The sequence below is a fragment of the Homo sapiens genome, chromosome 2 (genome assembly GCF_000001405.40).
Source record: "Homo sapiens chromosome 2, GRCh38.p14 Primary Assembly".
NCBI lineage: Eukaryota > Metazoa > Chordata > Mammalia > Primates > Hominidae > Homo > Homo sapiens.
Window position 1 is genome coordinate 60,340,436 of NC_000002.12, and position 15,593 is coordinate 60,356,028.

Genomic DNA, 15,593 nt, shown 5'->3' on the forward strand with positions numbered 1-15,593 from the left:
GTAGGCCAACTGCTGAATGGAAAGGTACCAGGAAAGTGTTTAACCACCTAGACCTGGAATTCAAGCAATCTTGGGCTCATGTTCCAGGCTCACCATTGACTAGATACTTAACCTTAGTCTAGGTACTTACCTGTCTGAGTCTCAGTTTCCTCAGCTATAAAATAGGGACAGTACTAGTAACTACCTCATTGGGTTGTGGTGAGGAACAGCTGAGATCATGCCTGTTGGGTATGTAGCAGTCCTGACCAGAACTGTTATGAGGGAAAAGATGCTCCAAAAAGGGGTCCCAGCTTCCTCCCCCAGTGCTCTTACATCCCAGCAGGCCAGCAATTCAGAGAGCCACTCTGGGTCTCAAAGCTTAAATGAGACAAGGTTTGTCCCCATTTGACAAATGACCTGTGAGTCCTCTCTGTTGCATCCTATTGATGGTTTCTGACAAATCCCACAGTATCAGTTTGCATAAGTAAGTTTGAAATGCCCTTTCCATTAACAGAGGAGCTCTGCTATTAACTAATTACACTTTGGCTTTTCCTGTGTAAGCCACCGTGCCAGGGAGAAGAGGCCAAGCGTGAGGTGGCCTCTGGTGTGGCAAGAAGGTTTGTGCAGACTGGGATGGGCAGGGGCTGGGGTGAACGTGGGGGCTGCTCCTTTCTGTCCTTTCCTTTCTATAAATCCAGTTATTGGGACAGTGACCTTTGGAGGAGTGGCTCCCAATTTCCCACACGAATGTTTTCAAAGGATTTGGGACAACTCCAGTTTTCAGAAAACTGCTGATATTCAGAAAAAGACTAAATGCACTGCTCAAGGTTACGAGAGTACCTGAATCCATTGTGAGGTGGGGTCCTGACAGAAGAGCACTGTTCTCAGAAGCTACAGCCTCCAACGTGGTTCTGACCCCAGGGCCGACACCTGCCAGGTCAGTCCCAGGCCTGACCGGGGAGCAGTGGTCTGCCTATTCTGTCTTCTGCCATGCCTTCCTCCATGTTGGTCAAGAAAAAATTTTAAAAGCCTAGGTTTTAGAGTGAGTCAGATGTGGGTTCAAATCCCAGCTCTGCCACTTACCTCCAGCAAGTTATACCCCGACTTGGAGTCTCAGCATGCTTGTGCGTTAAATGAGACCTAGCTCAAGGAGTTACCACAGGATTAACTGTGGAAAAGGGTAGCTCCGAGAAGAAACCAAGGAAACATTAGTAGGTAGGTGTTCCTACCCTACTCTCACCCTGAAATCACTCCCTTTTCTGTAAGCCTTGATGTCACCAAGCTGAAAATGCTTTTGAGGGATTGCCCCTCTCCAGTGTATTCTTACTGTAACAATAGATGCATTGGGTAGCTGACGGGTGAGGAGTTTGCCATGCCTTGAATATTGAGATTTAGACATCTCTGTAACACTGACGGGTGGGCCCGACAGAAATCCATTTAATTGGTTCTGAAGAGCCTCTTGGGGGGCAACTGCAAGTGAGAGAAGGAGTCACAGATTATGAGCTTTATCCAATAGAAAGCTTTTGACATAGGAAAGGAATTGGGATTTTGAGTTAGGATCACTCAAATCTATTCCTATCCCAGCTGCATAGATCGGCATCTAGTTACTGGAAATAGAAAGTAAATAAATAAAAACAAAAAGAACGAGCTCCACTTCCATTTAGGTTGCCAAAAATTGCTGAAGACTTGCTCCCATCCTAACAATGAGAATGAACCAGGTAAGCTACAATATCACAATTGTTTAAAACCTATCAGAGAGCTTCAGATGCAAAGAAGTGAAATGAACTAAATTTCAGAAAGTGAAGATTCCTTCCTAGCAAGAAGAGAGACATTTTCATCACTGGGAAGGAGCAGAGAAAGATGAATCTGCCATGGATAGGGGTAAGGAGAAACCACCAAACTTTTTTTTTAATTAATTTTGTTTTTTTAAATTTATTTATTTTATTTATTTATTTTTTTATTTTTTGAGACAGAGTCCTGCTCTGTCGCCCAGACCGGAGTGTAGTGGCACAATCTCGGCTCACTGCAACCTCTGCCTCCGGGTTCAAGCGATTATCTTTCTCAGCCTCCCGAGTAGCTGGGATTACAGGTGCCTGCCACCATGCCCAGCTAATTTTTGTATTTTTAGCAGAGACAGGGTTTCACCATGTTGTCCAGGCTGTTCTCAAACTCCTGGCCTCAGGTGATCTGCCTGCCTCGGCCTCCCAAAGTGCTGAGATTATAGACATGAGCCACCGCACCCAGCCCCACCAAACTTTTAATAGAATTGCAGCAGTGAGTGGGTTGGCATGGCAGATTAAGACCCTGGGGAGTGTGTGTCTGTACCAGTCCACAACCCTCTGCTATTGTTCTTATCTAGTGCACAGGGCCAGTATGCTGTAGGGCTAGGGATGGTAGATTACCCTGAGATATCCAGGGCCTTCTCCAAGTGCAACGCCGAAGCTGGGGTAGGGCAGGAGGTCCAAGAGAAATCCCTCTGAGGCACCCGTGGCCTCCACTGAGCGCACTGCTACCGTCCTCCAAAGACGCAAGCAGGACCACTGGGTGGAGAACTCTCAAGAGGCAGACATTTGGGGGCAACGCTGGAGGGCAAAGAGAACACTCCAGTGGGAAAAAGAAGAATAAAAGCTGGCAGCTATGTTGTAAAGCATAAAGAATTTTCTAGAATCTCACCAGTGTTCAGATCCCAAACTCTGCTGAAGGGAAAGCCATGACCCTTTCTTCAAATTGTTTGAAGCCAGTTGCAAAATAAGTCTAAGAAAAAAAGTGGAATGTTAACAAGGAAAATGTATTTTTTCTTCTTTTTTTTGAGATAGCAGCCAAGTACTTTCCAAAATCAACCCATGGATCCAGGAAGCTCAGTGAACCCAAATAGATAAATACAAGGAAAACCATACCTAGACATCACACACACACACACACACACACACACACAGACACACACACAATATGTATATTTCCAACTTCTGTAGAAAAAAAAGACTCACTGTTAAAAGCAAAAATGATAATATATTATGGAGTTTATAGCATAAATAGAAGTAAAATATATGAAAACAATAGCATAAAGGGCAAGAAGCAGGTGAATGTAATTATATTGCTGTTTCTTGCATTGCCATTCATTAGGAATGTATTTGAAAGTAAACTGTGATAACTTAAAATACACAGTCTAATTTCTAAAGAGCAAACACTATAAAAATAATACAAAAAGTATAGCTACAAAGTCAATAAAGAAGACAAAATAGAGTAATAAAAAAATACTTGATTTACCCTAAAAGAATACAGGAAAAAAATGAAGCAACGTACAATGAATAGATATGACAAATACCGGAATGATAAACTTAAACCCAATCATAAATGTTATTGTAGTAAATGTAAATAGATTAAATACATCAACTGTTTAAGGCAGAAATTGTCAGATTGAATAGAAAAGCAAGACTTACCTATATGCAATTTAAAAGTAACATGTTAATTATTAATATAAAAACAGAGATAAAAGAAGATAGATTGGGCTGGGCATGGTGACTCATGCCTGTAATCCCAGAACTTTGGGAGGCTGAGGCAGGTGGATCACTTGAGGTGAGGAGTTTGAGACCAGCCTGGCCAACATGATGAAACCCCATCTCTACTAAAAATACAAAAAAATTAGCTGGGCATGGTGGCGTGCACCTGTAGTCTCAGCTACTTGGGAAGGTGAGACAGGAGAATCACTTGAACTCAGCAGGCAGAAGTTGCGGTAAGCTGAGATCGCACCACTACACTCCTGCCTGGGCAACAGAGTGAAACTCTGTCTCAACAAAAAAAGATGAAGAAGAAGACGAAGAAGAAGCAGAAGAAGCAGAAGGAGGAGAAGGAGGAGAAGGAGGAGGAAGAAGAGAAGGAGGAGGAGAAAGATTGATTGAAAGGAAAATATTAGAAAAAGATGTTCCATGCAAACAATAAACATGAGAAAACTGGGGGCTATATTAAAATCAGACAAAGTGGATTTTAAGACAACAAATATTACCAGAGATAAGGTGAGTATTTTGTCATTTTTTAAAGATCAATTTATGTAGAAGACCTAATCATTATAAATGTATATATATATATTCATAACAAAGTTTCCAAATTCGAAAAGAAGAAATTGACAGAACTAAAGAGAAAAATAGAGAAATTCACATTCATACTTGGAGACTATAACACCTCTCTCTCTCAGCAAATGATATAACAAATAAACCCCAAAAAAATCAGTAAGGATATAAAAGGATTGAAATACCACTTTTAACCAATTTGACATTTATAAAAAACTATAGCCAAAATCTGCAAATACTCATTATTTTCAATTGCACCTAAAATATTCACCAAGACAGATTACATGCTGAGCCACAAAACAAATCTAAAAAAAACAAAGGTTCAAAATCATATCAAAGGATCAAAATAATATTCTCTGATTGCAATAGAAATTAGATATCAATTATAATTAGATATCTAGAAAATCTTGTAATATTTCAAAATTTAAGTAACCACTTCTATATAACCCATCAGTCAAAGAAGAAAAAAAAAAAAGGGAAATTAGAAAATATTTCCAACTGAAGAATAAAAAACATACAACATAAGAAAATTTGTAGGATGCAGATAAATCTGGACTTAGAGGAAAATTAGGGCTTTAAATGTCTATATTAGAAAAAAGGACTGAATCAAAGACCTAAATTTTCACCTTAAGAAGCAAAAAAAGGTCAGGCACGATGGCTCATGCCTGTAATTCCAGCACTCTGGGAGGCTGAAGAGGGAGAATTTTTTGAGGCCAGGAGTTCGAGACCAGCCTAGCCAGCATAGTAAGACCCCATCTCAACTGAAAAATAAAAAATTATCTGGGTGTGATGGCACACACTTTTAGTCCTAGCTACTTGGGAGGTTAAGGCAGGAGGATCACTTGAGCTCAGGAGGTAGAGGCTGCAGTGAGCTGTGCTCATGCCCCTGCACTCTAATCTGAGTAACAGAGCAACAACTCAATTCAAAAAAAAAAATGAAGCAAGAAAAAAATAACAAATTCAAGGCAACATTAAGTAGAAGAAAACAAATAATAAAATTTAATAGCAGAAATAAATACATCAGAAAATAGACAAAAAAGTTAAAAGTTGGATACTTGAAAAAATTAATAGAACTGATCAATTTTTGGCAAAATCGAGCAAGAGGAAAAAACACAAATCACCAAAAGCAGGAGTAAAAGAAGAGACATCACTGCAAATTTTAAAGATATTAAAAGAATAATAAGAAGATTTTATAAACAAGTGGATGCCAAAATATCAACAATTTATACAAGATGGAAACATTTGTTGAAAAATAAAATGTACCGGAACTGAAGTAAGAAGAAATAAATCTAAATGGTCCTATGTCTGTTAAGAAATTAAACTCATAATAAACTACCTACCAAGAAAAACTATCCAGGCTCAGACAGCTTCACCAATAAATTATGTAAATATTTAAGGAAGAATTTATACCAATCTTAGATAAGCACTTTCAAAAGTTAGAAGAGGGAACATGTCACCAGTTGTTACATGACATTCATATAACTCTGATACCAAAACCTAACAAAAACATTGTGTAAGGAAATTATATCCATTCTTACCCCTTTTATTCAGTATTATACTAGAAGTCATAGCCAGTGAAATAAGCCCAAAAAAAAAAAAGAGAGAAAGAAATATAACACATGAATACCAGAAAATAATTTAAACCATTGTTATTTGCAGATAATATGATCACATATGTAGAAAACCTTACGGAATCAATTTAGCAAGACCAAAATTTTAAAAGTAATTTAATTTTTATGCAGTACCAATAAAAAAATGGACAATAATTTTTGTATCCCATTTACAATATCATCAAAAAACATTCAACATTTAGAAATAAAAATACTGAAAACTGTACAGGGCATAAAAATATTGCAGAAAAAAATTAAAGGTAAATAAATGTAGAGATGTCATGCTCATGAAGTGGAAGACAAAATATTGTCAAATGCACATTCTCTCAAAATGAATCTACATATTCAATATCATTAAGATCAACATTTCATGTGCCTTTTTGAAAAATTCACAAGCTGATTCTAACACTCATATGGGCAAAAAATATCAAAAACAATTTGAAAAAGAATAACAAAGTTGGAGGACTTATACTACATGATTTTAAGGCTTACCATAAAGTTGTTGACACCAAAGGGAACAAAAGCAGTCTATCCCTACTGATTCTTACCAAAAATATAGATTAATGAGCAAAATAAATGTTTTCATTATTTTAAGCCAAATATGTGGGATAGTTTGTTATGCACCCATAGTTACTGGAACATTATCAAAAAAAAAAAAAAAAACCATTCTGTGCAACAAAAGACACCCTTAAGAAATTGAATTGGCAGTCCACAGACTGGAAACAAATATTTACAATACAAATATCTGACAAAGGACATGTATTCACCATACATAAAGAATGCCTACAAACCAAAAATTTCAAAACCAACACCATTAAAAAAATAGGGAAAAGACTTTTTTAAAATATCACAAGATATACAGAGTCAATTAAATACGAAAAGGTGCTCAAAATAATCATGAAAGTGCAAATCAAAATCATAATTTCAAACCTACTCGCATAATTAAAATGAAAATCACTGACAATGCCAAATGTTGAAGTTAATACAGAGGACATAAAACCCTCTTATACTGCTTGGCGCAAATATAAAATGGTACAACCACTTTGGAGAACTGTTTGGCTGTTTCCTGTGAAGTTAAATAGACATCTACCCTATGACCCAGCAATTTCACTACTATTTACACATGAGAAATGAAAGCAGGCTTCCAAAAAAGACTTGTAAGAGAATGTTCATAACAGCTTTATTCATGATAGTCAAAAACTGGAAACTACCCAGCTATGCAAATATAGGAGAACAGAAAAACAAATTATGGCACATCCATACTATGGAATACAATTTAACTGTATGTATTAAGAATAAACTATTGATTCATGCAAAAACTTGGACGCATTTTGAAAACATATTTCCAAGTTAAAGAAGCCAGACATTAAAAAGTATGTATGGTATGACTCCATTTAGGAGAAGTTAGAGAAAACTAAGATGATAAAAATTAGAAAGTGATTGACTCTGGGGAACAAAGGAATTGACTCTAAAGGGATATAAAAGAAATTTCTGGGATATTCTATAACTTTTTTGATCACATGGGCATATACAATCATCAAAATTTATTGAACTAAACACTAAAGATCTGTGCATTGTATTGAATATAAGTTATACTCAATTAAAAACTGGAAAGAGCTGTTTTTTTTCTAAGCTGTGTAACTCATTGGTGCTCCAGCAGCCCTGCTGTGGGACCCCCTTTAACAAATACCTCTAACAAAGATTACTAAGGCCTCCCTGTCCATCCCTCCCTCTGCTTTTCCACAGACCACCAGCCTCCGGTACAGCAGTACATGCGAGCACATGGACATGGGGCAGGGCACCAGGGAGAATGGCAAGACACACGATGAATAGACAGAGCCCAGCAGCAGGTCCAAGTTTGTTTACATGTGATGCTACTCTGTGCATTCCAGAAGTACTAGTAAACATTGCAGTGGGGCTGAGGTCATGAATTCTGCAGGTAGGAGTAACAAGCCAGTGAAATGTGTGACTTCATTCATACCCTTACACCGGTGGGTCAGGTTATATGAGAAACCTGAAAAGGTTTAGAAACTCACTCCAATGAGATGACCCCTTACTGTATGTACTTCGTAAGCAACCATCCTCCCCACCTTACCTACTACCTCCTCTACCCAACTGAAAGTTCTAAAACTCATTTCCATCATGTCTTGCATGAATTCACAACATTATTTTCCAAAAGTATATATTCCATAACATTTATAGATACTGATTATTAAAATACAAGTTCACCTAAATGCATTACTGAGTTCATTATATATTTACTCACATAGTAAATGTTTTAAAAGTAGAACTTCTATTGGAGATGTCACAATTTCTTTTTTAATTTTTTTTTTTTTTTTTTTTTTTTTTTTGTGATGGAGTCTCCCTCTGTGGCCCAGGCTGGAATGCAGTGGCATGATCTCAGCTCACTGTAGCCTCTCCCTCCCAGGTTCAAGCAATTCTCCTGCCTCAGCCTCACAAGTATCTGGGACTACACACCACCACACCTGGCTAATTTTTGTATTTTTAGTAGAGCTGTGGTTTCATCATGTTGGCCAGGCTGGTCTCGAACTCCTGGCCTCAAGTGATCCACTTGCTTTGGCCTCCCAAAGTTCTGGAATTACAGTCGTGAGCCACCACACTCGGCTGGAGATGTCAGAGTTATTTTTAATAAGTAATTTTCAGGGGGTTCCTTATACTTGGACAGATACATGGTGTCTGATAGACCTGGATTCAAATTCTGACTCTGCAACTTCCTAGTTACATGACCTTGGGAAAATTACTCAATTTCTTTGACCTTCAGCTTGTCATCTGAAGAAATAGAGATAATGATAGTCCCTACCTATAGCAACTTAAGAGGATTAAATGAAATTAATGAAGGCTTTAACACAGTGTATGACACATAGTATGTGGTCAGTAAATACTAGCATTATTCAATAAAAACTGCAAGGTATACTTAAAAAAAAAGTCCAAGACCTAAGGACTAAATTCTGCTCCTGTGTCCCCACTTCTCCCCACATGATTTGAACATGTTCTTTAACTCTCCGGACCTCCATTTTCTCATATGCAAGATGAGAAGGTTGAGGCCAGCTGTATCAGTGGCTTCAACACCGTTGAGTACCTTTCCTCTGGCATGGAACAAGATGCCCAAGGATGGAAATGTTTATCCTACCATCAACACAATCTAAACTGCAGCAAAATGCCAAAAAACACCAGGGCCAGGGTGACCACAGCTGCCACCCCCTGCCAGTGGCACAGGAAATAAAGAAATGACCCAGGAAAATATCTAGTAAACAGAGATCTTGGACTGTTGAGCTAAGGATAGTCTCTTCCCTTGAGACTGGCAAGTGAGTCAGAAGTTTGTTGGTTGTTTTGTCTTGTTTTGTTTTGTTCTAATCCAAGCAAAGAGGACCTCAGGGATAGGAGAGGAATGAGTCTTTCCAGTGTGCCTTTCCACTCCCATTACTACCTCCTAAGTCAGGCTTTCAGAATCTCTTCTTAGGACAATTGTGAGGGACTCCTAACTTGTCATGCTGCTTCAAGCAACCCTTCCTCCAGCCTATCCTAGATAGCACAGCCAGAGCTGTCTACCCAACGCACAGCATGGATATGCTCTCTCATGCTCAAAATCCTTTCCCAGTGCGCATTAACACTAGACTCGTTCTTCCCTCCACCCAGAGTACCTTCGACATTCTGATCCTTGAAGCCCCAGATCAATTCCTACTGCTTCCAAGAAGCTCATCCTCATGAGTTCTTGGATGAAATAGGGAGTTCCCACTCACTGGAGAATTTCAAGAAGAATGACTCAAGCACATGCTCAGGAATCTTTATTGGTTCTCCATGTTCTATTGAATTAAAAAAAAAAAAAAAAGCTCAAACTGACAGTCAATACAATCTACAACATATACTCACCCAGATTCCCACCCTACTATTCCACCCTACCTGGCCTAGTCCCCTGCTAATCCTGAGAACATGCCTCTATCTCTATCTTTATCCATATCCCTACCACCTGGTACTCCTGTCCTCCGATTGTCAAAACTTGACCCCTCCTTTGAGATTTATTTCAAATCCTAACTAAACTCTGCTGCTTTCCCTAATTCTATCCTCCTTCCAAGCCCTTTAACTCCTGTGTTTCTTGTTTTTCCCTAGGAATCAGAATCTCCTTGGCACTTCAGTCAAGGGTACACTTGGAGAACATAAGGCCATTGAGACAGGGACCGACCTATCTGTGCATTGTGACCCCTAGGTTAGCACTGTCATGCCATAGCATTTAGGAATTATTGAGTGAGGGACTCTCGAAGGTCCATGTCTTGGCTGTTGTACAAAACACACGAGCATTGAATGGGAAGTTGGACAAAATAACGCCAACAGTCTCTTCCAGTTCTGGCCTTCCAGAAACCTGGATCAGCTCTATGACATCTTCTGAACTCTGCTTTTCCCAAATCCCTTTGGCCCCTTGCCACCCAATTCACATTTAGTTGTCTGGGTTTTTTGTTATTGTTTGTATTTAATGTTTTGCAAAGAAAATGCATTCACATAGTTCAAAATAATTTTGTAATTAAAAGGTACAAAGGACAAAAATCTCACCCCCACCCCATCACGTAACTGTTTAGTTAACACTTTTATTATCTTTTTATATCCTTCCAGATTTCCTTTACGCAAATACAAATATATGTTCTTACATTTTATTACACAAACAGTAGCTTGCATGAGGTTGTTTTTGTAATTGATTTGTGAGTTAAATTTGCTCACCAGCTGCAGTGAAATTGCTGTGTTGGGAGGGTCCTTCAAAGCTCCTTTATGCCCTACTATGCCTAGCTCAGGGCTAGGCACATAAAAATGCTTAAATAAGTGCTTCTTGGTTGGCTGCCCTTCCATAACCTTCTCCAGTCCTGCCTGGAGCTGAAAGCACGTGCCCTACTTACAGCTCCAACGTGTGAGGAGAGGCCCTGCACTCTCACTTCCTCAGACACATTTTTAGAGAATCATCTGAGCCCCGGGGGCAACGATGCAAGTTTCCATCTGTGGTATGCCAGGCCTCCCATCACCTCAGCCTTTCAACTTGGTGGGAGAGAAAATATCATGGGCTAGGAATCAGGAGACTTGGATTTCCTGCAGCTGTGTCCCCAACTTGCTGTGCAACCCTCAACAAGACACTCATCCTCTCCAAGCCTCGTTCTTCTCATCTTTAGAATGAGGAGATGGCCCAGGTGATCTTCCAGGGATCTGCCCACACCAGCACGGCCCTCAGCCAGTCCCTTCCAGCCTCAGCTGTGCAGACATTGTGTGCTATGGGGATGAGGGCCACTTTGCACCCAGGAAGGCACCTGCACTCCCCCTGGACCTGTGCCCATTAGCGTGTTGATCCCAGCTAAAATGGCACAGCCTTGCCACAGTCACACAACATTGCATGAGCATCTTGGGGCAACAATTCTTTCCCCTGGGGCCACAGGCCCGGGCCCCAGAGGCAGCTGCCTGCCCGAAGCAAGACTTAGCCTTTCCTGGTAAGTCAAGAGAAGCCTAAGTGAGGTCTCCTTGATGATCCAGATATGGATCCCATGACACCTAAGGACACATCTAGGGAGGCTAGACTACCCACCGATGTAGGCTTCAAGGCCAGCACTGCTCTCACTCACATCCTTGAAGCAGGTGGCACCAGAATGGGGAATTGTGTGGTTCCCAAGAGCCTCTGTGGGGGAATTCCTCTCCATTCCTCTCTGCCCGACTGCCCTCCTCACCTGCTTCCACCTGCTGTTAGAAACAGGAGAGATGTGACCTGGAAGGCACCTCCAAGACCATCTGGTCCACCCTCTTTGTCTACAGATTCAGAAACTGAGTCCAGAGAGAGGAAGTCACTCACTTGGGGCATGCAGCTGCCTGAGTGAGGAAACAGTCTTCAATGGCAAGCCACTCAACACGTCTCAGAGAAGCCAGCCAGGGCTCCCTTCCCCCTTCTGGAGGCCGCGTCCGCACGTCCACAGTGCAGCAGGTGCCCAGCCAAGACTCTCGACTCAGGGAACAGGGTGGGAAAGCTTCTCAGGGGGAGCAGCCAGGAACACCGGGTGGTTGACTCAGTTCTCTGCACCAGTGGCGAAGGCTGGCTGCCAGCCTGCCTCTGGGGGCTTAATGTGGGTATAAACTTCTTGCAACTGTTGTAAGCAGGACAGGCAGGGAAGAGATGAAGGTGGCAGCGTTGTCTTCAGCTGACCAGTGTTCAGGCTGGAACTGGGAGTCGGGCCTGAATTCAGACCACAAAAAAAAGCTATTGTTAGGAGCCCCGTTCCCTATTAGGGATAGAGATCAGAGCTTGTGGAATTTACTTCTATTGAGTGATCCCCACTTCTCTCTGCCTGTCTAAATCCTCTCTTCTTTGAAAAGCAGCTCAGAGCTGCCTCTTTCTTGAAGCCTTCCTTGCCTACGAACACCCCCATGCAGTCTCCATCCTCTGAACAGCTTGCAGCATTTCCTTCAGGAGGCATCAAGGAACTGGGCACCCGTCATGAGTTCTGGGCTGCCGCTTAGATTACGCATGTGCCTGAGGTCATGGGACCAAAGGCTGGGCGTCTTCAAGAGGAGCAGGATGTTCTACCCCTTTAGTGCCCTCCGCAGCCCACGGCCCAGCAGAATACATAAAAGGTGTGCAATAACAACTTACTTGCCTGTTGACTGATTCCAGTTCCTCCCCCCAAAGGACAGCGAAGCCAACCACACACTCTTGAAATGCTTGTTTCTCCTGTCAGACATCCCTCATGTCCCCATGCCAGCACCCCCAGGCAGTTCCACGGGGAGAGGAGTGTAAGGTGGCAGAGTTGCCGACTGGGCTTCTGGAACTGGCATCAGGCTTGAGGGTCGTTTCGGTGGACTCCACACTGCCTCACGGACCAGGTGCAGCACAGCTGGCTAGGACCCGTAAGTCCTGCCTTGCATCCTCCCTCCCATCATTACAGCAACACACACACACACACACACACACACACAATGTCCTCATGTTTTTCCCTCTTTGGCTGCCCCTGAAGCCTATTTCCACTCAACTCCTCCTCTATGGATATGTTCGGACATGTGTAATTTATCCCAGGGCCCTTTCGGACTGGAGTTAATCTCACATCCTAGTCTACACGCATCACCTGCCACCCAACTCGTCCCCCAGGGACTCCCTCCAGCTCTGGGAAAGGCCAGGTGACAGCAGCTCTCACACCGGCTCTGGTGTGGAGAGGGGTCAGAGTAAGTAAAACCAGAAACAGAGAAATAGCAGCAGTAAAAGCAAATGCCACTGTGTTGCTGGACCTCACGGAAGCCCCTGCCCACATTTAGAAAGATCCTATAATTTCCAGACCGTCCTGGTCAATAATAATCCGAGAGAAACCTTAATGTTTGATTTCTTCCTCGTTGTGATTTGTGGCTTGTGGAGCTCAAGATCTTTGAGGCCAAAATGGTGTTTTTGTTCATTAGGCAAAGTTGCAGGCCCAGGCAGCAGCGGCTTTCTCCAGTCTGCCCCCGCCTGGCCCCAGCTGAGGCTCAGGAAACCTCCTTGGCAACGGCTAAGGGTCTCACAGTGACATTAACCCAGCCACATTCCACACATGTAATATTCCCGAGTAGTACTTAAGCTTGTAAATCCATTTTTTATGATGCAGAATTGTACAGCATGTGCAACGCGATGCGGATGTGTTAACATCACCGTGAGAAACTTAACTTTTGAATATCCTTGTTTTGGGAGGTACACATTTTACAACTTCAGCAACATGTTACCAAACATTTCTTACACAGTTACTTCCATACAAGGTTCAAGGTGGTTGGTTATATTTAAATATAGAATTTCCCCCTACCTGATCACACTGAACAAATTAAAAATGGCTCAATTATTTGCATCAAGTTCTGGGTTTCTTACTGACGCCCTTGCTTCCCTATTGTAGCTTTGAAATTAGACTTTTAATTGTGCTTGTGAAACAAAAACACAGGAGGCCATTTTCATTGCAGAACAGAAAGTTACAGGCAAAGTTAAATGCACCTGCATTTCTTTCTTTGTTGGCTGGGGGTAGGGTAAGGAGGGAGGAGGAAGAGAAAGATTTCTATTTCAATGTCTCACTTCAGGTCAGAGATTAGAACTTCCAAGCTCTGTGTGAACAGGGCACCTGCTCACCTTCTCTGGGCTGTGATTTCCTGCTCCAGCACCAGCGTGCTTCAGCATTGACAGAGGAGAAAAACTTATCCAAGTGATTTGGGCAAATATATCTGATTATCACAAGCCCTATTCTCTTTCTGTTGGCACTGATCGGGAAATGTAATTCACCACCCTCCAGTGCCATAGTCCATGGAGTGGAAAATTCTAAATTCAAACCTGTTCCAGGTCAAAGATTCTTATGTCAAGGCAGAAGAATAGAGCACAGTTTAGCAACTGATTAGCTTCATTTATAAAGCTAATTGATTAGCTTTATTTGTTAATTGATTAGCTTTTATTTGGGTTAAACAATTTAGTCATGTGACAGGTGGATGTCCATTTCTACTCTTATTCTACTCTTCTCTTGATGGTCGGCTGGCTGACCAGTTCCCAAAACACACTCTTTGCTTCAGTCAGGATGGCAATCCCACAGACTCACTGTCTCATTCTTCAACTACACCACCTCCCGCCTAAGCCTCGTTCTTCTTGGCCCTTCCCCAGGATTGCTCTCCAACCCCTTCCCTCCATCTTTCCATCCTTCCAAGCCTCATTCAGCCCCAGTTCCTCTCTGAAGCTCCCCCTGATACCTTCCACCCCTCACAGACCTCCCTGCTCTCTACACACCTGTAGTGCTCCCAGCATATGCCACCAGCTTTGCCTTGTGGAATGACTGTTTTCATCACCTGGCGACTTGTACCAGCTTGTCTCTCCACTCTTGTAAACCTGTGGGAGGGCCCCTATCTCATGTGTCTGTGCATTCCAAAGAATGCCTAAGAGGGTGTTGCACTTAGAGCTGACACTTAATAAATACTTGCCTGTTTGGGGAGGAAAATTGCAATCAAAATTTTAAATGCACTTGGCCTCTAACCTACCAGTCCCTCTTCCAGGCATCTAGCCTATGGAAACACTAGCCCACTTATATAAAGATGTATGTTTAAATGAGTTTATACATGGAAAAGGTTTAGAATAGGACCCCACCCACAGTAAGCACATTATTCAGGATTAATGGTAGTTGTTGCTACTGCTATTGTTGAGAGGTTCACTGTAATATTGTTTATAATAGCAAAAATCTGGAGCAAACCCAAATGGCCAGAAGGAAGAGTATCGTTTTTGAAAATGATGCTACATCAGTATAATTGTAGGTACATTTTAAAAAGAATTAAATTTATATATACTGAAATGGGGAAATGTCCCCAGTATTAATGTTTATCAAAAAAGCAAACCACAGAACAACACTTATAGTATGATTTCATCTTTTTAAGAACTAGGTAGTAATATGTATATGCACTATACATATTCATGGCAGCAGCATAAAGTCATAACTAAGAGCACAGATTTAGGACTCAAAACACTTGGATATTGATCCTGGCTTCACTGCCTACTACCTACGTGAGCTCCAGAAAATTACTTAACATCTCAGTTTCCTTATCTCTCAAATGGGGAAAACAGTCATATTGCCTCAGAGGACTGGCACAGGGACTAAATGAGTTCATATATGTAAAGCACTTAGAATTGTGTCTGGCATGTCCAGATTCCCCAGTAAAGGTTAGTTCTTACCACTGTTATTATCTGAAAAGGAAAAAAGACTGAAAGGATATAAACCAAACTGTTAACAGTGGTTTCCTCTGGAGAGACAAATTAGGAGAAAAGGAAACCTTCTGGTTTGGTTTTGTTTTACCACAAGCAGGTATAACTTACATCATATAAAAATACCTCCTATTTGTCAGTAGCATGGCAGGTTTGATTCATAAGGACAAACTGCTACCTGAGATGTAATGTAAGACGTCAGGATGCAGGCCA

General features: G+C 41.5%; 4 annotated features.

The window, feature by feature from the left end:
- Window positions 11,167–11,246: an enhancer, noted in NCBI's record as "active region_15799". NCBI's record gives its function as "activates an Ori minimal core promoter by ATAC-STARR-seq in GM12878 lymphoblastoid cells {active_cell/tissue: GM12878}" and the evidence as "EXISTENCE:reporter gene assay evidence [ECO:0000049][PMID:35858748]".
- Window positions 12,017–12,516: an enhancer, noted in NCBI's record as "active region_15800". NCBI's record gives its function as "activates an Ori minimal core promoter by ATAC-STARR-seq in GM12878 lymphoblastoid cells {active_cell/tissue: GM12878}" and the evidence as "EXISTENCE:reporter gene assay evidence [ECO:0000049][PMID:35858748]".
- Window positions 12,997–13,076: an enhancer, noted in NCBI's record as "active region_15801". NCBI's record gives its function as "activates an Ori minimal core promoter by ATAC-STARR-seq in GM12878 lymphoblastoid cells {active_cell/tissue: GM12878}" and the evidence as "EXISTENCE:reporter gene assay evidence [ECO:0000049][PMID:35858748]".
- Window positions 13,217–13,266: an enhancer, noted in NCBI's record as "active region_15802". NCBI's record gives its function as "activates an Ori minimal core promoter by ATAC-STARR-seq in GM12878 lymphoblastoid cells {active_cell/tissue: GM12878}" and the evidence as "EXISTENCE:reporter gene assay evidence [ECO:0000049][PMID:35858748]".